The 27,033-nt window shown below is 42.5% G+C and overlaps 1 protein-coding gene and 1 pseudogene across 4 annotated transcripts in view; one reads left to right on the top strand and one right to left on the bottom strand.

The window, feature by feature from the left end:
- Positions 1 to 320: 320 nt before the first annotated feature.
- LOC112267977 (mitochondrial import receptor subunit TOM6 homolog) lies at positions 321 to 537 on the top strand (annotated as a pseudogene).
- Positions 538 to 5,354: 4,817 nt separating this feature from the next.
- SLC22A1 (solute carrier family 22 member 1) overlaps positions 5,355 to 27,033 on the bottom strand; it is a 36,904-nt gene continuing 15,225 nt past the window's right edge. The window contains exons 7-12 of one of the 4 annotated variants that reach the window (XM_005267103.3): positions 24,206 to 24,420; positions 20,424 to 20,532; positions 9,163 to 9,275; positions 8,556 to 8,643; positions 7,999 to 8,098; positions 5,355 to 5,557 (exon numbers count right to left, since the gene is read on the bottom strand). In XM_005267103.3, the coding sequence (XP_005267160.1) occupies positions 5,522 to 5,557; positions 7,999 to 8,098; positions 8,556 to 8,643; positions 9,163 to 9,275; positions 20,424 to 20,532; positions 24,206 to 24,420 (661 nt within the window). In that variant the 3' untranslated portion in view covers positions 5,355 to 5,521. The remainder of the gene's footprint in view (positions 5,558 to 7,998; positions 8,099 to 8,555; positions 8,644 to 9,162; positions 9,276 to 20,423; positions 20,533 to 24,205; positions 24,421 to 27,033) is intronic. The other 3 variants (NM_003057.3, NM_153187.2, NM_001437335.1) reach the window with 3 other exon arrangements.

The raw sequence follows: 27,033 nt of genomic DNA, 5'->3' as shown, positions 1-27,033 counted from the left end.
ACCGACCTTCAGTTTTCCTCCATGGAATTCTTCTAAGTGGTGGGATTTAAAGTGAATTTTACTTTTTTTCCCCCGTTTCTTGGTAATTTAAAATTTTTAAACTAAATCACAAGTGAGGTGTCAGGTAAACTGCAATTTAACAATAATCGAGGCAAACTCACCATAGCCCTAGTTGCAGCTAGGTGCTTAGTTACTGCAGTTCCAAAGAGAATGTGCTTCTCACACCACCAAGGAGCAGCGACCCTTAGAACGTCCTGCTCAGACCAGCCAGGGAAGCCTTTTCAGTCTTGTCTCCAAAAGAATGATTCTCGACTACTCTGCCTTCCAGCCGGGTCACCCTGAGTGCTGCAGGCTTAGCCAATGAAGCTCCTGAAATTCCTGACAATGGCGGAGATAGTCGTGGGGTGTCCACCGCTTTGCCACTGATAGGAGTGATTCCAGAGGAACTTGATCCTCAATCTGGGACTGTTTGCAGGAGTTTGGTTTGCCAGGAACTTGAGTGACATTGACCCCATGACACCTCAGCCGGTGGTGTAGCCAAGTAGACAAATGGACTCCCGCACTGTACCTGAACCTTCCAGAAACAGAAACTGCAATCTGGGACCATGTTAGCTATGCTCTGGGGGGTGTTTTTTGCTCTTGTCCTGAGGAATAGCAATGGTGATTTAACAAATATTTGAAATAGGCTGGGGACGGTGGCTCATGCCTGTAATCCCAGCACTTTGTTAGGCTGAGGTGGGCAGATCACCTGAGGTCAGGAGTTACAGACCAGCCTGGCCAACATGGTAAAACCCCATCTCTACTAAAAAAATACAAAAATTAGCTGGGCATGGTGGCGTGCCTGTAATCCCAGCTACTCAGGAGTCTGAGGCAGGAGAATTGCCTGAACCTGGGAGGTAGAGGTTGCAGTGAACAGAGATCACACCATTGTACCCCAGCCTGGGTGACAAGAGTGAAACTCCATCTCAAAAAAAAAAAAAAATACAAACCTGAAATAAAGACTTCACACAAAGGAAAAAAAAACAATGTTTCTCTACAAAAGAATGAATTTTTTTTTTTTATTTTGGGGTTTTTCTTGGTAATGCATAAAGATGCTATTGCCCAGATGTCAGTTGGAAATGCAGTATCCTGCTTCAAAACTTGGATTTTGGAGCGAGACTACAGGTTCTTCGCTTACTACCTGGTAATGTTGGGCAAACCCCTTAGCCTCTTTATGCCTCAGTTTCCTTTTCTTTGCAATTAGGTAACATTACCCAATATAATAGAAGTGTTATGAGAATTTAACAAGATAATATAAGAAAGTGCTTAGGACAGTAGCTAGTACACAGCAAGTTCTGAATACATCTGAGCTATTGTTATTTTTATAGTCACAAATTTGCCATTCCTCAAAACTCCCAGACAACCAGATTCTCATGTTTATTTTAACTGAATGATGAGACTGATGAGAGAAAGCAGCATGTACTCTACAATGAGAGGTTTGAAATTAATCCAATACCCTCATAAACCAGACCATGTGTGAATGTAGCTGTGTATGTGAATGTGTAGATGTGTATGTAGTTTCCATGTACACATCCTTTTTACAAATGGCATAGAAAGATGAAATGCTCTACTCAGACAGGAACCCGGAAGAGGATAAATGCCACTGCCCAGGCTGAAGAGCAGAATCAGCAAGTGAGCACAGGATGCCTAGAGTGTCACCGCTCTGGGATGGGATCTTCGAACTCTGCCCAGGGCACTCTTAGGCTTTCCCTCTGTCCTGCTCAGCAGCATGGGGCCAGGGACAAATGCACAATCAGTAATGCCAGGAAGCTCATCCCAAAGAGGACACAGCTCCCTCCAACCTCCCTCCTTCCTGTTTAATTTGCAAGCTTATACTTGCTCCTCCTGTAATCTGACCCAGAAGATGGAAATTCAAAGTCCCGTTGCATGCTTGTCAGTCATTTGACATCTCTGAACTTAGCTTCCTTAACTTCCCAATGTGGCGATGACTGAGTCTTTATCAATATGTCTCATTAATGACCTTTTGCAAGAGACCTCTTAAATTAAGTCAAATAGGCCTCTAATTTGCCTGCTCTGTTGATGTCTCAAAACATCAGACATTCACCTGCCACCTGCTGGGAAGAGGTGCAGGTGGGATGGACATTAGGACACATTGCCCTTAGCAACCAGGTATAAGGAGTAAGCATCAAGGGACAGTCATTCTTTCCTCAGCTGGAGATCATTGAATCCACCATAAGCTGCTGATCATGAGACCACGTGGCTGGGAGGCCACCTGATGCAGCAGCAGCCCCCGCACTGACTCTGGGGCTCTGCTGGGGGAAGCCTGCAGCTCCTGGAATCCTCACAACCACTGGGAGCGAGGTGCCGTAAGGAGGCGGAGTCTCAGACAGAGTCTCAGATGGTCAAGGACCCTGCTCCAGGGTGGAGGAGACCCTGGAAACACATCCAGCTCATGCCAGGGTCCAGTATCCATCCGGGACAGAAAGCTGCCTCCCTCCTTCCGGGACAGAAAGCTGCGTCCTCAGCAACAGGCAGAAAGTGACAGCCTCCTCCCATCGCCGTCACTCCTGCTCTCGTCAGACACCCATCCCTGGACCGCCAGACCCCCGGCTACCACCCCATCCTGCTCTTTCCTGATCTGCAGCCCCCCACACCCATCACTTGCTGACCAAGGTAAAATTTTACTTCTTTCATTGCAAGACCCACATGAAGACATGTTGGGGCGGGATTGAGGAGGTGATTGCAGGGATCTGCAGATCCCCTCCATCTACGCATAGGGTCAGTTGTGCTGCTCTGATGTTCTCAGCACCACCTGAGTGCGCCCCACTGCTATGAGAATTCTTGCATGATTTGTTGCTGTGACTATCTTTGGGCTCTCTTACCAGCCGAGGAGGGCTGGGGCATCCCCTGGCTCCTGTCACATGCTTGGGGAATGGCAGGGAACTCCACAGCACTGCCCCTGAAGGAGGGGCCTGGGCATTTCACAGCAAGGCCCTGACCAGGAACTTTGTATGTTTCCTGATGCCCGGGTCACAGCTACTAGCCTTTCCAAGCATCTGAATGCCATCTGGCTCCCAACCCACTTATTTCTGCCTTCACACTGCCAGACGCCCTTCGCCACCCCCCATTTTTATCAAGACAGACTTTGGCTCTGTCACAGCAACAGTGAGGAAGGCAGGAAGGGAAGGGTCCCCAATGTCCCCTTCATGATGCATCAGGCAACATGAAATACACTTTGTTTCCATGGCTCCATGTTTAAACCCTCCCTGGAATTACGCTCCCTCCCTCCCTTGGGAGAGCATGAGCAGACATGCCTGCGGGGGTCCTGCCACTCTCCCAGATTCACTTCCTGACTGGTCAGACAAACCTTACTGTGACCCGCACCAATGCCGCTGTGTGCTGTAAGTACACACTAGCTGTGCCTTATCCTGCAAGAACAGCACACGTGCTAATTTCTTCATACATGTCCACAGAGCCATAAGGAAGTTTGACCAGGGAGTGTCGCTGTTTTTAATGTTGACTTTTTTTTGTTTGTTTAAGGCCTTCCTCAGAAGTTTTGCCAAGAGGATTCTAAGAAAGATTAGAGAGGACATTTTTAATACACATTTGAAAAACATCATTCAAAGCCTACAATTTACTATTTGTGACCAGTAAACAGTGTGATCATTATCATCAGAAAGTATAAGATACAGGGCAAGGGCTTTGCTTCCAACACTGAAATGAAGGGCTATGTTCACTCCACCATTGAGAGTTCTTTGTTTTTTGTTTTTTTGGTTTTTTTCCCAAGGACAAAGATTTGAGTTTTCAAGTAGCAATGTCTGTTCTCAAAGGACAACCAAAGTGCTGCTCGTCACCCACTTCCGTGATCTCAAGTCCTTGTGGCCATCACTGACCTCAGCTAGATCAGGCCAGAAGTGTCTATAATACAACCACGTGTATTTCACCATGCCTCCAATTCCCATTAGAAGCTTTTTCCTGATATACTCTGAAGACTGGCTATTGTTATCTTTGTGATTTGCCTGACAGGTAAAGAAATTTTAAAATAAAGTTTTTTGTGTCCTCCAGGAACAAAATCATGCATGGTGTAGGGTTCAGGAAGCACATAACTCATCCTGAAGTGAACTCTCTTTGATATATTTACTGTGATATCTCATGGTTGGCACAGGCATTCACCTTCTAGAATCACCAAGGAGAACCAAAACCAAGAGTGAGATAGAATAAAATATTCCTGGAACAAGGGGGCAGAGACATCTTCCCTAAAATGGCCATGGTGCTTCTGGTGTTTGAATGAGGAGCATGTTTTATTCTATCATGTGTACGTAAATGTCACAAGGACATGGTTTGTGGGCAGAGTTTCCATACTAAAAACCAGTACAGTTGCCCCTTGATATCTGTGAGGATTGGTTCCAGGACCCCCATGGACACCAAAATCTGAGAATGTTCAAGTCCCTGATATAAAATGATGTCATTTTTGCATATAACCTACATACATCCTCCCTTATGCTTTAAATCATCTCTAGATTAACTATAATACCTAATATAATGTAAATGCTATGTAAGTAGTTGTTATACTGTATTGTTCACGGAATAATGACAAAAAATAAGTATGTATACATTCAATGCAGATGCAATCATCTTTGCTGCACAATTTTTTTTTTTTTTTTTTTTTTTTTTGAGAAAGGGTCCTGTTCTGTCACCCAGGCTGGTGTGCAATGGCATAATCATGGCTCACTGCAGCCTTGAATTTCTGGGCTCAAGTAAGCCTCCCACCTCTGCCTCCCTAATAGCTGGGACTGCAGGTGTGGGCCACCACATCCAGCTAACTTTTTCCCTTTTTTGTAGACACAGGCTCTCACTGTTGCCCACGCTGGTCGAAAACTCCTGGGCTCAAGCAATCCTCCTGCCTCAGCCTCCCAAAGTGTTGGGATCACAGGCGTGAGCCACCAACCCCAGCTACCCAAATATTTTCAGTCTGCAGTGGCTTGAATCCACAGATGTGGAACCCACAGATATGGAAGGCTGATTGTACTCTCCAAGCAATCTACATGTTGAAAGGTTTTCACCAATATAGATACATACAAATGCAAAGGCATTTTGTTTCAGAGAGTGAATCAAACCAATTTTCTTTCTAGAAAATTCTTTCTAGAATACTTATTCTAGGAATCCAATTACACAGCCCTCTTTTATAGCAATATTTAAATTCTACTGATCTTCAAACGCCTTTAGATAATTAAGTACCCGATACCAATAGCACCAACAGCTTTCCCTAGATCGAATGCACAGGTGGAAGATAGCCAGGGCTTTGGAGAACTTAAAAGAAAGAAAACAAAATAAGACAAAGCCCACACAAACCATTCTTTAGGACTGATATTAATTTGGGGGTAGGCAAGTATGAGGAAGAATACAGAGAAGTGAAGGCGTCTAGGAATTTCTGCAGAGGATAACTCCATCTTCATCCCTCCAACACGACATCGCCGCAAAACATCTCTCTCAGGTGCCCGAGGGTTCTGAGGTTTGGACCTTAAGGTAAATCGTGTTTTCTTTGGGCTTTGCTTTTCTGTAACAACAAAATTAAAAGTTGGAGTTAAAATAAATAAATAAGCAATCAGTTTGTTGATGATGGAACTGTTGCAAAGTTGTACACAGAAATGAATAAGTGTCAAGACAAAGAGAAAGTAAGGATGGCAAACAGCAAAGAAGAAAAGGGCATAGCAAACTACAGCCTGTGGCCCCATTCGAGCTTATAGCCTGTTTTTGTACAACTAGTGAGCTACAAATGGTTTTTACATTTTATATAGTTGGAAAAAATGAAAATATTTCAAGATACTTAAAAAATTACATGAAATTCAAATTTCAACATCCATAAATAGCATTTTACTGGTATCCAGACACAACCATTCCTTCATGCATTGTCTATAGCTGCTTTTCCAATGCAGGGGCAGAACTGGGTAGTAGCAAGAGAGACCACAGGGCCCCAAAGCCTGAAATATTTACTATCTGGCCCTTTCCAGAAAGAGACAAGCCCTGAAGTAGAAGGTTGATCATGTTCCTGGCTAACTCATTTTGAATCCGGTGACTTTGGGGATACATGTCATTATCTCCTTCATCTGTGGAATGGGTCTGATAACCATAGAAGCTGCCTCCCAATGTTTTGGGAGGATTCGGTGAAATGCACATGAGCTTTCAGGGAGGCTGACACACACACAGTGAAGCTTAGCTAGAGTTACAGTCACTTCCATTCCTGACATTCTCCCCTTGCAAGTGGGGAAGAAGGAGTAATCAACATGATCACTCTGGCCATAGACTGTGGCTACTATTTATGGAATTGGTATAGCAGAGAAGACAGACAATGAAATAAACAATTATTATAACGTGTGAAGAGTACTGTCAAGAACCAAGGATGCACAGGGGGTTCAGGGCTCTGGGCAGCAGCACCTGCCTCCCCTGGCAGGGCGGGAATGATTAGGATGAGAGAGTGAAGGGATTAAACAGAACATCTTAAAAGACTACCAGGCCAGGCACGGTGGCTCACGCCTGTAATCCCAACACTTTGGGAGGCTGAGATGGGCGGATCACCTGAAGTCAGGAGTTCGAGACCAGCCTGACCAACATGGAGAAAACCTGTCTGTACTAAAAATAATAAATTAGCCAGGCATGGTGGCACATGCCTGTAATCCCAGCTACTCAGGAGGCTGAGGCAGGAGAATCGCTTGAACCTGGGAGGCGGAGGTTGTGGTGAGCCAAGGTAGTGCCATTGCACTCCAGCCAGGGCAACAAGAGGGAAACTCCAAGTCAAAAAAAAGAAAAAAAAGACAACCAAGTGGCTGTTAACACACTAGAATGAAATATCTTTAAATCAGATAACACAACACTTGGGATCAAAAAGAAGGAAATCATCAGCAACTAGAAAATGCATTTACTGTTAAAATAGTGTTTTGCCCTTATCAGTACTGAGAAATCTAGAATTTCCCCAAGTGAAGTGTACAGAGTGCCTATCTGCATGTGCATTGTTGGCAGAGATTATTAAAACAGATTCCTGAGTTGCATCATTCACATTCTAAACCAAAAACCAAGAAGGCCAAGGAATTTAGCATTTTAGCATGTTCCTTTTGTGCTTCTTCTGCACACTTAGTTTGGAGGATCACTGGGGACATAGCACGATTTGCAAGAAGAATGGAGAAAATCTGAGCTCTATTGAACACCTGCTATGTGCCAGGCAATGGATTAGTCACTGTCACCTACTTAATCTGATTAGATCTTTATAGAAACTCTGTAAATTAAGTATTATTGTGACTATTTTGCAGGCATGGAAATTAAATGAAAAATAAAGCTCCATAGGGTTCAATGACATTCCCAAAGTCACATGGCCTACTGAGTCAGGTGACCTAGGTTCAATCGTAAGTCTGTAGGACTGCATAGACTTTTCTCTCTCTATTCACGAGGACACATGCATCCTTGCTGTGGAATCCACAGAACTGAGCCTGTAAAGGATCTTGAGAGAGATCACCTCATCAAGCACTGTTCCTTCCTTTCCTTTTTTATTGCTCTAAGACTAGAATATGAAACTCCAGCAAACCTTGCTCTCTGTCAAAAGAATTTTGTGAACAAAGTTACTAAAGAATCTGAGACAACAATTGCTCAGAGGACAGAAGATTGATTTTAAAATGTTCCCCACTCAGAGTCATTAACTCTTGGGGTGAGCTAGGGATCTTGGTGCACCACAGCCAACATTACAGACAAATCATTCTCTGCCATGCACTTGAGAACAGATAGCTGTCAAGTCATGCTCTTCATTATTTTCTTACATAAAGTCAGTAGCTATCATGGGTTTTTTTCCTCATAGCAGTTCTGGGAGTAATAAAAAGACATACAAATATCTGTAAAGCTCTCCTAAACTTTTAAGATAGAGGAAATGGAGAATGTGGAGTGATATTAGGCCCCTTTTGGAGGGCGTGTCAGACTCATGGGCCTCGGAGTCCTGGGCACCATGGGCTTCACCTCCCAAGGTTCTCGGCGTCCTTCATGGTCTCTGGCAAAGCGACCCCCTTGGTCTCTGGAAGAAGTAGCGTCACTCCCGCGGCAAGCAGGCCCAACACCGCTTCAAAGGAAACAGATTGCAAATGGAGCCATTAGAGCACAGCCAATGTCATTTACAGAAATAATCACAGCCAGCCAAAGAGAGGAAGAGACAACACAGATGGGAGAGATACTATTTTTTAAAAAGAAAAAAAGTTAGGAACATTTATAAAAGAAAATTAAAACAATAGGATAACTGGGGAAATGTCAGAGTACGTAAAGGAAACATTGCCTTCATTTTACTTCTATAGAAGTGTAAAGTTCCATAGTAACTGATGTTTAAGTATTTGGGGATTTGTTGTTGGGGTACATATACACATAGAATTAGCTATAGAGCACAGTCTATATGTGGGCAGGGTGGACCCCTCCCATCACTCTTTTCTCCCTCCTTTTTCCCTTTGCCTTCTACTTCCCTTTCTCCCTCCTTCTTCCTTTCTCCCTTTCCCTATCTCTTCCTCCACCCCTCTTTTTGTATTCACCTGTGCCCAGGCATGGCTGGCTCTGCAAACAACCAGCAACTGTTGTCTTCTATCAAGTGGGTAAGCAGGGTCTTGGAAGTTCTCTGGCCTAGGTTTGGAGAGATAAGTAGGAATCCCCTCTCCCTTCTCTCATCCAACTGTATCAGGAAGAAAGCTGATACGGAACTTTGATTCCCACTCATCTCCTTGTGAGTGTTCTCAATTGTTAAGATCTAGATACAGAAGACAGGTGATAATTCAGCATCTTCAAGACTCTAGCAATTGTGTGTTAAATGTGTAAGAATTGGTGATCAGATTTATCAGGAGACTGTCAAAAGGTCTCTCAGATTCTGTCCTATAGTATGAATGATTGGAGTCCAGAGCCAGAGGATGGAAATCCCTGACCCATATCCTAGGAATGGATTCTTATCTTTCCCATGAAGCAAGACAGAATAAGCCAGAAGACATCCCAAGAGCATGCATCATCCTTGCCTTCTGTAAACTCACTGAGAGATATCATTCCCTTCACTCAACAAATACGACTGAGTACTCACACTCAGTTCCACCCATGCTGAGCCCACTGCCGAGCTGCAAAAGAAGGAATGATATATGCTCCACAAAATCTTACCAAACAAAATGAGGGGCAAGGCTTGCCAGACCTCCCTCAGCCTGAAGACTATGAAGGGGGTGATTATCCCACCTATGTCACACAGGGAGGAACACACCATCACTCCGAGGTTCCTGATAAAATACAAAGGACAAAAAATACGATAATTCTGTGATTCACTTTTCCAAATGTTCACCTGATGCTAAAACAAGTACAATGCCAATACCTGCAGCTTGCTGTGGCTGTCCAGTGCTCAGCACCTCAGAAGAAAACTGCAGGGGTCAGGAGGAACCATGAGGACCAGCCCAGAGGGTATTGAGAGGAGGTAACAGGCTAGAGTGAAAGTGGGTATGAGCCATCCGTTGCCCATGCAATGGCAGAGAGCCTACCTCTTTTTAACTACACATTCAAATATTTAGCTCTTAGGTGTATAATACCTGAAGAATTGCTACAAGCCTTACAAAGATAAAAAGAACACATGCTCCCTGCTCTAAACTTCAATTTTACCTCACTCCTGTTCTAGGTCCATGACCTGTCATCACCTGTGGGAAAGCACAATGTCTGGGAGTGACTGAGTTTAGTGGGATTTGGGCCCTTCCCAGCCCTAAGACCCTGGGAGCAGGGTCAAGCCAGGAAGGAAATCCTGACTGATGTGCACCAGGGACTGACTAACCAACCCATCACCTCAATAGCCAACAAGTGACCCTTAGAGGAGGCACATGGGGAAGAAAGGAGACCTAATCAGAATGAGGGATCTGCCACTGGCGTTCATTGGTTAAGGGTCAATGAATGTGGTTCCTTATGCATGTGACCCAGAGATTTGCAGCACAGGGCAACAGGCCTTAAGTAGATTTTCCCAAGAAAAACATGGATTCCAGCTTCTAGCACTAGCACCATGGGGGATCTGCAGTGCTGATGAGGATAATCTGGTGCTGAATTTGTAGTTGTTGAGAAAGAGAAGACTAATCATTGAAATTCTAACTTAGAGCTCCTTTCCTGTGACTGCAAGCTTTGGTCTGTGCTAAGATGAGCATTTTCTTGGGAGAATGAGATTTAAACTGTGACTAGTAGCTTTTTCCACCTGATGAGTTGCTGGGGATGCTCAGAGCAGATGTTAAGAGATGGGAGGAAAAGAGTCTCCACTAGAGAACCCCTGATGCATGGAAACATAGGGAAGGGTAGATAGAAGGTATTGAGGAATCGAAGAAAGAAAGTTAGTGGGGAAACATGTAGAGAAACTATCTACTTGAAATGACCCTCTTCATCTCTGGTAATGTTCTTTGCTCTGAAATCTACACTATCTGATATTACTATAGCCTCTCCAGCTTTCTTTTGATTAGTATTAGCATAAAATATCCTTCTCCATCCTTTCGTTTTAAACTATCTTTCTCCCCTTATATTTAAAGTCAGTTTCTTGTAGACAGCATGGGGTTGTGTTTCACTTTTTTGTCCAATCTGATAATCTCTTCCTTTTAACTGGAGTGTCTAGACCATTTATATTTCTTGTGATTACTGATATGATTGAGTTTAAATCTATCATCTTGCTATTTGTTTTCTTTTTGTTCTGTTTGTCCTCTGTAACCCTTTATTTCTTTTTCTGCCTTCTTATAAATTATTTTAAATGATTTCACATTATCTTCTGTGTTGACTTAATAGCTATAATTATTTTGTTTTTTAATTTTTGATTTAGGTTTACAGAAAACCTAACTCTTTGATCACAGTAACTTCAAGTAATATTGTAACATTCATAGATTATATGTGAACCTTACAATAGTATACTTGTGTTTCTTCCCTCCCAGCCTTTGCACAACACATTGTGATTATTGTTTTGATTGGCAAACTACAGCCCACAGGCCAAAGACAGCATTTTTAGCTTTGAGTTAGAAATGGTTTTTACATGATTAAAAGGTTTTTTAGGCCAGGCGCGGTGACTCACGGCTGTAATCCCAGCACTTTGGGAGGCCAAGGAGGGTGGATCACGAGGTCAGGAGATCAAGACCATCCTGGCTAACATGGTGAAACCCTTTCTCTACTAAAAATATACAAAATAAATAAATAAATAAAATTAGCCAGGCGTGGTGGCAGGTGCCTGTAGTCCCAGCTACTTGGGAGGCTGAGGCAGGAGAATGGTGTGAACCTGGGAGGTAGAGCTTGCAGTAAGCCAAGATCGCACCACTGCACTCCCGCCTGGGTGACAGAGCGAGACTCCATTTCAAAAAAAGAAAGAAAGAAAGAAAGAAAGAAAGAAAGAAAGAAAGAAAGAAAGAAAGAAAGAAAGAAAGAAAGAATAATATGCAACAGAGACTGTATGTGATCCACAAAGCCTAAAACATTAGCTATCCAGCTCTGTACTGGAAAAGTTTGCCAATGCCTGCTTTAAACAGTTCATTGTCTTTTAAAGAAAATAACCAGAAAAAAAAAATTTCCATTTACTCACGTAGTTATCATTTTCAGTGCTCTTCATTTTTTTGTGTAGATATAGATTTCCATCTGATACTGTTTTCATTTTTTCTGAAAGATCTTCAAGACTAATATTTCCTGTAGTATAAGTCTGCTGGTGATTAATTCTTTCAGACTTTGTAAGTTTGAAAAAGTCTTTATTTTCCATTCATTTTTGAAAGTATTTTTGCTGGGTCAAGAATTTTAGATTGGCAGTTTATTTTTCTTTCTTTCAGTACTTTAAAGATGTTCTACCACCTTCTTGTTTGTATCATTTCCAATGAGAAATTTTCTGTCATTCTTATCTTTGTTCCTATTTGTGATATCTTTTTTCTCTGATTCCTTTTTAAGGTTTTTGTTTTGTTTTTGTTTTTGTTTTGAGACAGGGTCTTGCCCTGTTGCCCAGGATGGAGTGCAGTGGCGTGACCTTGGCTCATTGCAACCTCCACCTCCTGGGCTCAAGCAAGCCTCCTACCTCAGCCTCTATAGTAGCTGAGACTACATGCATGCACCACCACACCCAGCTAATTTTTGTATATTTTGTAGAAAGAAGGTTTCACCATGTTGCCCAGGCTGGTCTTTTTAAGATTTTTATGATGTGCCTTTCTTGATGTTTTTTTGTGGTTAGTATTTATTGAGATTGTTAGATCTATGTATTGGAAGTTTTCATCAAATTTGAAGAAATTTTGAGCATTATTTCTCTCTCTATTAACCCCTCCTACTCACTTCTACAGACTCCAATTACATTCATTGAATTGTATCACAGCTCACTGATTCTCTCTGTCTTTCCTTTTTGATAGTTTCAATTGCTATCTTCAAGTTCACTAATATTTTCTTCCATAATGTTTAATCTGCTGTTAACTCATGTGGTGTATTTTTCATCTCAGACATTGTGTTTTTATCTCTAGAAGTTTAATTTGGGACTTAAATTTTTTTTCCTTGCATCTACTTAACATGCTCAATCTTTACTCTAGGACCTTAAACATAGAGAATATAGGTATCATAACTGTTCTAATGTTCATGTCCACTAATTCTACCATCTGTGCCATTTCTAGGTCAGTTTGAATTGATTTATTTTTCTCCTCAAGATAGGTTATCTTTTCCTACTTCTTTGTATGCCTGGTAATTTTTTATTGGATGTCAGAAATTGTAAATTTCACTTTGTTCCATGCTCGATTTTGTATTCCTAGAAACAATCTTGAGCTTTGTTTTGAAAACATGATTAAAATAGGAATAATAAATCAGGAAAAGTTCTATCCTTTCGGGTATTACTTTTAAGCTTCTTCTATTGCAATTATTTGCATAATTTCTTACTCCCTACTATGACTAATTACAAAATTCATATATTTATATTTCTTTCCCAATCCCTCCCCCCATGACCTATATCCTGATGATAAAAATGCTTATATCATCTCTTAGAAATTTTTAAAACAAACGTAGAGGTGGAAATTTTATTGAATGCCTTTCAGTATCAATGGAGATAATAATATAATTTTTCTCTTTTGACTAATAAACATGATTTATACTGTGAGGTTTTCTAAAACTCAGCCATCTTTGCACTCCTGGAATAATTCATCTAAGACATAGAATAGTAATTATTTTAATGTTCTCCACTGTTTGATAATATATTGTTTAGGATTTCTAGATCCATATTCATAAATATATGTCTGTAGTTTCCTTGTTTCCTTTATCTTTGTTGTTCTTTGGTACCAATATTACGCTAATTTTATTTTTTAAAGTTGGAAAATTTTCTTCTTTTTCTATGCTTTAGAGCAATTTAAATATTATTGGAATTTTCTATTTGTTAAATGTTTTTAAAAATCCCCCTTTAAAACCATTGTGGATTCCTTCTTTATCATTATTTAGGGCCCTCCTTATCTTATTTAGCACCTTTTCCCATAAATTCAACTTTAATTAGATTATGACACTTGCTATATATTTCCCTAGTATGCTTTTGTGCATTCTTTCTTTTTTAGCTTTTCTCAGGAAAAGTTATACTTCATATAGCAGCATATTGTTGGATTTTACTTTGTAATCAAGCTAGGGAGTCATCTCATTTTTTCCAATAAAGGAGTTAAGCCTCTTTTCATTTATTTAAATGTCGGAAATGTTTCGTCTTAATTCTACCATGTCAGTTCTGTCATATCAATGCTGTCATCTATTCATATTCTATCACCTATTCACACCAGGGCTTTTTATTGCTTCTGGTGTCTTTTATTTTCAGTATGTGTTGGTTATCTGTATTTTTCCTGATCATTTGGAAGGGCTGTATTTTTAGTCAAATGATTACTGTATAACCTTATATAATTAATATCCTATTTCTTTAGACAGTATTGATTAACTTCCTATTATGAACAATCATAAAATTAGTATATTTCTACTTCCCCCTCAAACCATCCCTCCATGACCTGATTTAGTTGATTCTATCATTACTTTTAGTGTTTTCTTTTATATCTTAACATATGCCTAGGATACTACTTATCAGTTTTTAAAAATATATTGCTGCTGAACTAATTATACTTGTCAGTTTTTAAGGATACACTTTTCCAAAAAACAAGTGTATTGAAGAAATCAGTGTATTACACCATCTCCAACATTCTTTCTCTTTTCTCTTTTCAGTCTTTGTGAGTTATAACATTTCTTTATTTTCAGATTTGTGATATTATATTGTTTTGTAGCCAAAAACACACTCGTTTTAATATCAATTTCAATGATCACTACCAATAATTCTGACACATTACTTCATTCGTCACTGTACTTACTGAATTTTGTTTCTAACAACTTTTTTGGGAAAGGATCATAGGAACCATATTATTTGAGATATTTTTAAATGATTGGCTATTGCTTCTATATAGAAATGAGAGCTTGGTTGGATAAAATTCACTGGATTCGCGCGTGATGGCTAACATCTGTAATCCTAGCACTTTGGGAGTCAGAGGCAGGCAGATCTTCTAAGGTCAGGAGTTCGAGAACAGCTTGACCAACCCCATCTCTCCTAAAAATACCAAAATTAGCTGGGCGTGGTGGTGGACGCCTGTAATCCCAGCTACTCAGGAGGCTGAGGCAGGAGAATCACTTGAAGTGGGGAGGCAGGGGTTGCAGTGAGCCGAGATCATGCCACTGCACTCCAGCCTGTCTCAAAAAAACAATAATAAAAATCACTGGATTGCACTTTATTTTCTTGAGGTCACTGCAGGCATTGACTGTCTTCATCAAATGATAACAATTTGTTCTTCTTATATAGGTGACAAACTTTCAGCCTGGCTACTTGGTGACTCTTTCTCTATCTTTAAAGTATAGTAACCAAATAAAAATATGTCCTAATAATTGTTCACTGGGTCAGTTTTTTCTGTTACATGTGTCCCTTTAATTTATAGATTCAAGCATTCTTTTATTTTCAGATGTATTCCCGAAGTATATTTATTGCGTATGTGTGTGGGCAGGGGGTGTATATATATATATCTTTTTTTTTTTTAACCAAAAAGTTTACGGACTATATACATACATACATGCATAGAACCTTTGAAACTCTACTTATTTCTTATTTCTTTTTTTTTTTTTTTCTTCTTCTTTTTTGAGACAAAGTCTCCCTGCCCGGGCTGGAGTGCAGTGGCTCGATCTTGTCTCACTGCAACCTCCACCTCCTGGGTTCAAGTGATTCTCCTGCCTCACCCTGCTGAGTAGCTTGGACTATAGGCATGCACTACCATGCCCAGTTAATTTTTGTAATTTTAGTAGAGACAGGGTTTCACCATGTTGGCCAGGCTGGTCTCGAACTCCTGGCTTCAAGTGATCTGCCCACCTCAGCCTCCCAAAGTGAGGGATTACAGGCGTTAGCCACCATGCCTGGATTAAACTCTGCTTATTTCTTATTTCCATTTTACTTTGCAACTCTTAGTCCTGTCTTGCCTTTCCCTCACTGAATCTATTCTCCTTTGCATTGTGTTCAAATTGGTTTTTCATTTCTCAAATGCAAGAATTTCTCCACTTCTTAATTTTTCTTTTTCGTTTCTTTCTTAAGACAGCTTCAGTGTCTTCTATTGTCTTGCCAGATATTCTCTCTAGAACTATACCTCTGCTTTAAAGTCTTATTTTTATAGAGATGACTGATTTATTAATACTTTACATTTTGGTAGTATATGTAGTTAGAACTTTGATCTATGTTGTTACAGCATTTTTCTGGTACATGTTCTTCATTTGCCTTTTGCTTTTTCTGCTCCTTTCCCCCTTTATCTCATGATATGTTTGTGTACCTCCTGAATGAATTACTTTTTTGTTTATTACTCATCTTTTCATACTGTTATTTCTTCCTCTATCAGCCATTTCTAGAAGGGTTTGTGGGGAAGCAGCCAGGCCATGTTCTGGGCTAGTAGAAATTCTTTCTTTGATCAGGGTTGTATATGATTAGATTTTTTTGGCTCACTTATTCCTGATCTACAGGGGCTGATGGTGTGGAGCTAGTCTCTTCCACCCGCCTCTCAGTAACTGCTGTCTGAAAGTTCCTGCATATCTTCTTTTACAGCCTTGCCCTCCCTGCTTCACCTTCAGCCATACAACATCCAGGGAAGGGAGCTTCCACCTCCAGCCCATGCACCCATCATTCTGTTTCTCCAAACAAGGGACCATGGATCACACCCTTCAAGTCACGCTGTCTACTTTGGAAAGCTGCTGGCCTCGCCTACGATTTGCTGTCACAGGGGTCCTTTCCTGGAATCTTCTCGGACTCCCTTAGACCTCACACACTAGGCAGCCCTTCCTCTTGTAGATTGTCTTTTCATGTTATCACAGTTTCAAACACATTTGCATTATCCCTCATTCTTCTAATAGCTTTTGTGTGATTTCCAAGAGGTGCAAGAAAAGACACAGTTATTTTTTACTATTTTTAAAAAATTATTGTTAAAAGGAAAAAAATGGCAAGCACACAGAAGCTAGAAGAAGTAGGGAACTAGGCCCCTTATTTAAAATTCAGATGTTTGCGGTACTTCATTCATTGAGTCATTCTACAGCATGTAGTGAGTCTGGCTGTGGAAGAGTTCTGTGAGGTACAGAGAAGTATGACATGACATGTGGTTTCTGTTTTCAAGGAGCTCATGAGAAGGTGAGGAGATAAAAATGGAAAGATCATTTTCAAAACAAGGCAGTGGGTATTAATGCCAAATGAATGTTCTTACAACACGTGCTGCACAAAGTGAAGAGGAGCAGAGCAGTCCAACTCTGAAACTGCCTGGAACGGAGGCAGGGTCAGAATGGTTTACATAGAGACTGTCTAAACTTGGAGTGCTTATAAAGTAATAAAGTCACAGAAATTATTCCTTCTCTGCAAATTAAATTTGATTCAATTGATTAGAAATATTGGAACTTGAATGACTGCCTTACCTTGTGTGTGTGCGCGTGTGTACATAAGAAGTTGAGAGTTTTTTCTGAACATCTAGCTTCCCTCCCTAGTGAATGAGAATGATTCTCCCACCAGCTCTCTGAGCAGTGGTCGAGGGCTCCTCGGGGATGGGTTGCTTGGCCTTTCTCCCTAGAGAACTACACACTCAGTACCTTTCACAGTTTACATTTTGAGTCAGTCCCCTTGGCCCAGTGGCCATGACAATGGAATTGTTTGGCCTGGCTATTTTAGACTCTGGGCTCAGAACTGCCAAATATAGAAGGTTTTCTTTTTAATATGCCTTCATCTCCTGTACTCAGTCCCAGTAACTTTTTACCAATGAGAGTCTCAGACATGGCCTGTTAATAAAGGATTAGTCAGGAAAGAGTGAATCAAGGCCATCCTGGTGCCTTCTGGCTTTACTGAAGGGCTCAGAGCACTGCGCATGTATAAGATGAGATTAGGGAGCTGGGGTATTTCCTAGAAACTACTGGTATGATGACATAAGGAGAAGAAACAATGTATACAGAGGAAAAAGAGTTTAAGTAACATACGGAATTTCTAACAAACTAGAATTTCTTAGAACTTTAAGTAAAGTGTTTACTTTTACAATTAAAATAATCTTCATTTAAAACTAAGTCTTCCAAGATACAGAAGGCAATTAAGTACAGACAAAGATACTCAACATTATCAGTAATTAGGAAAAGTCAAGTCACAATAATACCATTACCTACCAAAATGACTTTTAGAAAGCTGACACCAGACCAGGTGTGGTGGCTCACACCTGTAATCCCAACATTTTGGGAGGCCAAGGAGGGCAGATCATCTGAGGTCAGGAGTTCAAGACCAGCCTGGCCAACATGGTGAAACCCTGTCTCTACTAAAAGTACAAAAAATTAGCCAGGCGCAGTGGTGCACGCCTGTAGTCCCAGCTACTCAAAAGGCTGAGTCAAGAGAATCGTTTGAACCTGGGAGGCAGAGGTTGCAGTGAGCCGAGATCACGCCACTGCACTCCAGCCTGGGCAACAAGAGTGAAACTCCATCTCAAAAAAAAAAAAAGCTGACAACACCAAACACTGATGAGAATGTGGAACGACAGGATTCCTCAAACATGGCTGGTGGGAACGCAAGATGGCACAGCCACTTCGGAAAACGGTCTGACAGTCTGACAGTTTCTCATAGAATTAAACACACACTTACCATATGACCTAACAATCCCACTCCTGAGTTTTTAACCCAACGTAAATGAAAACATGTATCCACTCAAAGGCCTGTACCCAAATGTCTATAGCATCTGCATCAGAATCCCTCTGAAGGAAGCCGTTCAAATGTCCCTCAAGTGGTGAATAGCTAAACAGTGTATGAATTGTGGCACACTGACATTCACATGCTGGAGTACTATACAGCAACAACAAGCAAAACACTGATACATCCAACAAGTGGGTGAGTTTCATCATGCTAAGTGAAGGAAGCCAAACACAAAAGGTGACGTGCCCTATTATTACATTTACAGCTCATTCTGGAAAAGCTAAAACTGCATGGTCTGGAGGTGAGAAGAAAAGGGTATTAACTGCAAAGAGACATGAAGAACCTTTTGGGGGTGATGGAAATATTCTCTATTTTCATCATGGCAGTGGCTAAATGACTATATATACGTGTGTGTGAGTGTATGTGTGTGTGTGTGTCGTCAAACTAATCTAACTGCATGTTAGAAGCAGTGAATTTTACTCTGTCAATTGTACCTCAATAAACTTGATTAAAAAAAAAAAAGTTCTTCAGCACCAAAAGAAAAGGCAACAAAAGTAAAAAGAGATAAATTAGACTACATCACAATCAAAAACTTCTGTGCATCAAAGGTCACAATCAACAGAATGAAAAGGTAACCTATGGAATGGGCTGAAATATTTGCAGATTTTGTACCTGATAAAGAGTTAATCTCCAGATTATATAAACCATTGCTACAACTCAAGAACAACAAAACCAGTTCAAAAATGGGGAAAGGACTTGAGTAGACATTTCTCCAAAGAAAATACACAAATAGCCAACAAGCACATGAAAAGATGATCAACATAATTAATCATCAGAGAAATCAAAACCACAATGAGATAACACTTCAAACCCATTAGGATGGCTACTATCAAAAAGACCAACAGAAATTAACAAGTGTTGGCAAGGATGTGGAGGAATTGGAACCTTTGTGAACTGTTGGTGGGAATGTAAAATAGTGTAGCCGTTATGGAAAAAAAATACAGCCGTTCCTTCAAAAAACTAATAATAGAATTAGATTATGATCCAGTAATTCCACTTTTGGATATTCCACCCCAAAGAATTGAAAGATATCTTGAAGAGATATTTGTACATTCATGTCCATAGCAGTATTATTCACAATAGCCAAGAAGTGGAGCATCCCAAGTGTCCATTGACAGATGAATGGATAAACAAAATGTGGTATATATGTACAATGGAATATTACTCAGCCTTTAAAAAGAAGACAATTTTGGCACATGCTACAACATACATGAACCTTGAGGCCATCACACTAAGTGATCTAAGCCAGTCATACAAAGACAAATACTATATGATTCCACTTATATGAGGTACCTAAAGTAACCAAACTCATAGAAACAGAAAGTAGACAGGCGGTTGTCAGGAGCTGGAGGGTGGAGAGTATGGGGAGTTACTGTTTAATGAGTACAGAGTTTCCGTTTTGCAAGATGAAGAGTTCTGGAGCTTGGTTGTGTGAAGGTACTTAACACTACTCAACTGTACACTTAAAAGTGGCTAAGATAGTAAATTTCATATTATGTATATTTTACCACAATTTTGAAAAGTTCCTCAGTTTACAGAACAGTAATGTGCCATAATGGAAAAACCACAGGGTTCCAGGTCAGGAAGATGTGGTCCTTGCCCCAGCCCTGCTTCTTTCTAGCTGTCTGACCCCTACAACGCTTCTTTCCCTTTCTAAATCACAGCTTCCTCATATGTAATATGGGGATGATCATACCCAAGAACAAATTTAAGGGAATCACATGTATGGAAATACTCGCGTATCACTATACAAATGTCAGCTGTTTAAGAAAATGATGCCCAGAAGTGTCAATGAAATGGCTGATGTTTATACAATCAATTAGTGCCAAGGACAGGGCTACAACACAGGTTTCCCAAGTCCCTGTCCAGTACCCACTTCTCTACACCTTTTGTTCTTGTACTTGTTGTATGTACAGAACAACTTTGACCCCATCCATCAGCTCACAGGGTCCCCTTTCACATTCTCTGCTATAATTATGGGTTGACCCTCTCTTGATGCTTAACCCCATCTCTCTGAACGTGATTTCTTAACAATGCCACTCAATGTCCAAACTGAGCAATGCTTGGCTGCATCTTTAGGAAGCACCTTGGAGATGTTGGTTCCCACTGAGCTGGTGGGTTCACAGCCATTTCACTGGCTACCCCTGTTCCATGCACTCACCTGACGAATGTGGGGTACAGCTCAGCATTCACCAGGCAGATCATTTGTATTGCAATGGTGATTCCCATTCGGCCAACACACATGATTATGATGTTTAACCAGTGCAGGTCTGGAAAGGAAGTACAAAGAGGGTGTGGGTGGTGGATGGGGGCTTCGTTCCCTGAGTTACTGTGAGAGGCCATGGTGGGTCATGCTTGGACTATTAGAGCTGGTGGGGCCTGGAAGTTTGTCTTATCTAACTTTTTCATTTTTAGATAAGTAAACTGAGTCTCAAGAGATTTGGGGAGTTGACGATGACATATTCAAGAAGACTCCATTGAACAGGGGAAAGAATGGGCTTTTTGAATCTCAGCTTGGTTTCCTGGGCTGTAAAATGGGAATAATGACACCCAGCTTATAGATCATCATGAGACTTAGAGCTGATGTATGTCAAATGTCCACTGTGACCACAGAATTTTAAAGTTGGCTTTTTATTTATTATATGATAGTATCCATTCTAGTTCAGTGCCTGAAACACAGAAAGCACTCAATAAACATAATCCCTCTAGTAGTAGTTCTCAAACTAACAAAACAGATTTCTAATCCTCAATTTAATATTTGTTTCCAATACAGTTTTAACCAAAACACCTTTCATAATAGTCTCAGAGGCTGAGAATGAGGGAAGCGAGCCCTTGTTTCACGCTGGCAGGCTGCTGTGGGGTTCTCGACCACCTGAAGGCCCAGAAAGCCCTCTCCCTATTGAGAATGATCAAAGAATTTGGCTTCATTGGAAAGAAGCTCAGATCCTTAATAACCACCATCATCTGCTCTGCATGGGTTACCCCCAGCACTGAAATGCAAGTAACCCTGTGACACACCAGCTCACTATAAAGGCCTCTGGGGTCACAGACACGATGTCAGCTTGACCCTTGTCCCCAGATACTGGCTATTTATGGAAATCTTGTATCATCTCACTCAGCCAGTGTGAGGGTCCAAATGAGAGTGCCCCTCACCCGTCTCATGGGTGCAACACAGTCTCTCTGCCTCCTGGAGCTCTCAGCCCTGATAGAGAAGCCAAGCTGAGCCTTCTGTTAAGGACCACACCTCATCTAGCTTCTAAAAGATAAAAGGCAAGGAGTTCACTCCAATGCCTCGAGGGAGGTCCTCATTCACAGGTCTTTAGCCTGGTGATGCTTGACCAGAGGTAAACAGCATCCCTGGCCTCAGAGAACTGAACATGCCTCCACTCTGCACCCCCAGGGCCGCTCATCACAGCAGCCAGAGGGACCCAGTTCAGACTGGAGTTGGGTCAAGTCCACCCCTGCTCAAAGCCACCAGTGGTTTCCTACCACTCTTGGGATAAAGTCCACAGCTGGCTACTTCCCAACTCACTCCACGCCTCACTCCACTGCTCCCCACGAGCTCGCCTGACCCTTGTCCCTAGATCCCGAGCAGTCCCTCCAATGCCACATTCTTCTCACCCCAAGGGCCTTGCACGTGTCAGAAAACTCTCCCCAGATTTTTACATGGCTCTTCCCACTTCATTTAGGCCTCTTCAGGCCTCCCGTGCCCATTGTAGAAAGCACTGACATCCTTCTCTTTTCCCTCTGGAATGTCAGCTCCATGGAGCAGGAACTCTCTCTGCTTCGCTCATGGTTGAAATCCTAGGACCTAGATACCTGCCAGCCATATAGAAGGCCTGGAGATATTTCCTGCGGGTTGAATGAATGACTGTCCTAAAATGTGATAAGGACTAAGACAGAGGGACGAGGGGAGGACAGGAGCTGGGAGGAGGGGGCTGGGGAGGGGACGATGCCTGGGCTCTGTCCAGGTGACAACTGAATGGACTTAGCCCTCGATGGCCCTCCTTCTTGGCACTCAGTGCTGTGAACTTTTTAAAAGTATGCCCATCCATCACATCTTACCCAGGATTCCAGAAACAGAGAGATTGGGAAGAAAGTGAGCAAAATCTATTTCAGATCCATGCTGCCCCTTTTCCTGTGTTCTCTGTTCTTTCTCCATGAAAAAAAGGGAAAAGAAAACTGAGCTTTCTTTCCCCAACCCTTTTTCTTTCCAGCCTGATCTACACAGCCTAGTTCTTGGGCATACAGATTTCACAGAACAGTCTCTACAATACCCTGCACGAAAGCCTGCCAAAATGACTCACTAAATCAGCAAGTGCAGAGCACACGCAGTAAAAACTGAGAAAAGAGCAGATCTGCCCTTGTATTTATTTTACAACATATCCAAGAGCAATGAATGTGAAAGGCAATTTACGTACTCAAATTAAAACTGACTGAAGTTAATCTGCTTTAGGTTTAAATGTAGCTTGGTTTATCTTTGATTGTAAGAATTACAGACTAAAGTATACATCCACCAAAATGGCCACTCTTAAAAAGATGAGCCAGATCAAGTGTTGGGAGGATCTGGAGTAATCGGAGCTCCCATGTGTTCCTGGGAGGAGTATAAAATGGTCTAACCACTTTGGAAAGCTGTTTGGCAGTGTCTGCTAGAGCTAAACATATGCCTCCCTGGGACCCAGCAAGTGTACTCACAGACCTGTACCCAAGGGAAATGAAAGCATGTGCCTGCCCAAAGATACGTGCAAGGATGATTTTAGTCCCAATAAGTGGCAAACATTGGAAGCAACACAAGTGACAATCAACAGTGGAAGGGATGCAGAGTGTCATATTCATACAGTGGAATCCTACACAATAATTTTGTTTGAAGTACCAACTACACTCTCATGTGACAACATGGGTGGGTCTCATAGGTGCAATGATGAATGGCTCATGCCTATAATCCCAACACTTTGAAAGGCTGAGGTGGGAGGATTGCTTGAGCCCAGGAGTTTGAGACCAGCTTGGGCAACATAGTAAGACCCCATCTCTACAAAAAATAAAAACATTAACCGGGCATAGTGGCTCACGCCTGTAGTCCCAGCTACTGAGGAGGCTGAGGCGGGAGGATCCCTTGAGCCCAAGAGTTCAAGGTTGCAGTGAGCTGTGATTGCACCACTGAACTCCAGCCTGAATAACAGAGCAAGATTCTGTCTCAAAACACAACAACAATAACAAAAACAGTATATTTGGTATGGTGCCATCTATATGAAGCTCAAGAACAGGCACAATCTGTGCTGACAAAGGGCAGAGTAGTGGTGACCTTGGAGGGGTGGCAGGGGTTGTTGTGAAGGAGCCTGAGGGAGGCTTTGGAGAAGTTGGAAAGGTTCCCCATCTTTACGTGGATCATGCTGCCCGGGTGTACACATTTTTAAAAACTCATGGAGTCATGCACTTATAGTTTGCTGATTGTATGTATGTTAAAACTCAATTTAATTTTTTTTTTTTTTGCTGTTTTTGGGGGTTTTTTTGTTTGTTTGTTTGTTTGTTTTTTGGGAGATGGAGTTGTACTCTGTCTCCCAAGCTGGAGTGTGCGATCTCGGCTCACTGCAACCTCCGCCTCCTGGGTTCAAGCAGCCTCCCAAGTAGCTGGGATTACAGGCGCCCGCCACCAAGCCCGGCTAATTTTGTATTTTTAGTAGAGATGGGGTTTCACCATGTTGGCCAGGCTGGTCTTGAACTCCTGACCTCAGGTGATCCACCTGCCTTGGCTTCTCAAAGTACTGTGATTACAGGCATGAGCCACTGTGCACGGCCCCTCAATTTAAAATCTAAAAAAACTTTGTAGACAAAGGTAGCACCTCATCTTTGTTCTCATTCCAGAGGCTTATCAAAGAGTCACAACACTTTCCCCACACTTCGATTGCCTGGGAAATGATGAAAGCAGACAACTTACCAACTTACCAGGTGAGATAAAAATCATGACGAGGCAGGCTGCCCCCGCCAACAAATTTGACATGGCCATGGGGTAGATGCGGCCCACGCGGTCAATGGTGATGAGGGCTATGAAGGCCCCCGGGATTTCGACCAGAGCGGAGTAAAGGAAATCCAGGTAGAGGTTCCCGCTGGTGGCGCCCATGTGCAGGATGAGCCCCTGATAGAGCACAGAGTCCGTGAACCTGAGCCAAGAGGAGGTTTCAAGTCAAAGGCATGAGTCAGAGACTGAAGAAAAAAAAAAAAAAAAAAAGCCCCTCGCAGATGGAGAAAGAGCATGAATCACTGGGTTTAGAATGCCCTAGAGCAATATGAGAAGAGGGGAGTAAAAATGAGAAAGAGTGTCCTAGAAGGGCCCCAATGATACATTTTTTTCATGATAGATGTGAGAGTCTGACTTGTAGGATATGCCTCCAAGTCTCCTGGAGACTGCACGTGAGGATGGCTACTGTTCACTGCAGATTTAAATGTCTGGTTCTGCACCAAGCCCTGCACGTGCGTACCTCATCTGACACCCCAACAGGCCTACGAGGAGGTGGGCAGGAGAGACCAGGAAGTAAGGGGCCAGGTGTCGGATTGCTTTATGAGCTGTGTCACCTTGAGGAAGTTAACTAACCTCTCTGGGCCTCAGTTCCCTCGTCTGTAAATGGGATTGTAATAGTACCTCCCACATCTGTTTGTCTTGAGTACTCACTGAATTAGCGTACAAAAGTGCCAATTATAGTTCCCAGCACACAGTATGCACTCAGGGCACTCAGAAGACTCAGGGCACAACAGACAGAGGCATGGGCCAGGTCTTTCCAACCGCACCATGGCATTCCCGGCCCTTTACTGTGCTGTCCTTAGTGGGCGCTATTGATTCACCTACGCTCTTCCATTCACTGCACACCCCCTCCGTCCATATTTGAGAAAATGTAGCAACATTACAGCATATGGCACACAGACCCGAGGCCTAGCTAAATCACTCTCACCTGAGCCAAAATGTAGGGTGCCTCATGTGTCACTTCGGGGGGAAAATATCATTTGGAAGCTAGAAAGCTTTTACAGTCATATTTACATTGTGAGAACAGATTTGGGTCAATAAGAAATTACTGTCTCATCCCAGCATGCAGATTGCCTATCAGCTCCAAAACTGAGATGAAAATGCATGTTGCTAAGGAATGTATCCTTCTTTGATAAAATTTCGCCTAAAGAAGCATTGGGATGCTTTTGTTTCTAGTCCTAAATTATTCCTGATTGGACAAAGGGTCAAGAGAACAAGAAACAAGGTGCTTGCCTGCAACTCAAGGAGTTGAGGTTAGCCTGAGTGCCTCTGTACCATTTAGCCAGTTAAAGACAGCAGTCATATTACTGATAAAGAAACTGGTTTAAGAGAAAGGAACGTGTAACCTTGATTTTCCTGTCAACAAGCCAGTTAACAAATGTGCCGGGCTGCCACCTGTGGGCAGAGCTCATGAATTGCATGTGTGTATTAAAATAACAAAAAAAACCACATTGACATTGAACATTTCCTGCATGGATGCTGTACCCTCTTCTATGTCATTTACACATATAATCTCCTTAATCCTCCCAACACATCTGTGAGATAGGTACTATCACTTCTCCCATTACTGAGGGGGAAATTGAGTCACGGAGAGATTAAGGCCCTTTGGAAGGTCACACAGCCAGGACATGGTGGACAGACCTTTCGAGTCTCAGTCATGACAACCAGCAGGACAGTAGAAAAGGGCGTTCAGGGGCCAAAGGCGTGAGGCCTTGTGGGCCACAGAAAAGGATCTGGCTTTATTCTCAGTGATTAGGAAGCCAGCAGAGGGTAAACAGGGAGAGACAAGGTCTGTTGAGCTCTAAGGGATGCCTTTGCCTGCTTTGTGGAGCACCGAGGGGCATGGGTAAAGCCAGCAGGCCACCCAGAAGGTGCCTACAGTAATGCAGGTAAGAGATGCTGCAGAACTGTCCATGAGACAGCTGACATTTATACAAAGAATTAGTGCCAAGGACAGGGCTACTACAACCCCAGCAAGGGAACCCAGGGTGCCCAAGATGGGAGGCAGCAGGTTCTGAAGGCATTTCCAAGCCAGTTGATGGAACTTGCCAGAGGACTGGATGTGGGGGTAACAGAACAGAAGAGTCAAGAACACTGCCTTGTGGGGAGTCTCGGAGCTGGGGAGGGGAGCTGAACAGCGTAGCAGAGCGGGCAGTTACTTCCACTGCAGCGGCCAGTCCCAGCCTCCATGCTGAGTTCAACACTGAGTATCCATGGAAACCCACCAGGTACATGGGGCTATTTGCAAAGGTTCACGGGCCCAGCATGTGGCTGGGTGCAGGACCCCAGCGGCAAACTCGGAGACAGGGAGGGTGAAGGTTGAGGCAGGACAGGACACACTGAACCTGGACAGATTCTGGGGCACAGTGTTTACTCATTCAACTTTCAGCAAATATTGATTTAGGGTCTGCAATATGCCAGGCACTGACTTACTACAAACTCTTTGTTCCAATAAAACCTCACATAGAAGAGCAAACAAGTGTGCCTGGGTAGCGGAGCTGCTCCCGCTGAAGGGGCCAGGCCCAGAGTGCAGTTGGGGGGCCCTCACTGTATGCTGAGGGGAAAGCCCTTGTGCGGAGGAGGTGAGCCAGCATCCTCCTAGGGAGCAGGGCAGGGGATTCCTGCTCGTGACAGCAGCTGGGGGAGCATGCAGACCCCTGGAATGTGCAAAGCGTGTGTGCGTGGGTCCATGTGGGTGTGCGTTCTCTAGTCAATAGGTAACAAATGCACAGAGATGCTCAGGTAGGGTCTCTAG

The sequence above is a fragment of the Homo sapiens genome, chromosome 6, assembly GCF_000001405.40.
Source record: "Homo sapiens chromosome 6, GRCh38.p14 Primary Assembly".
NCBI lineage: Eukaryota > Metazoa > Chordata > Mammalia > Primates > Hominidae > Homo > Homo sapiens.
This window is presented reverse-complemented; position numbering and strand designations above follow the sequence as displayed.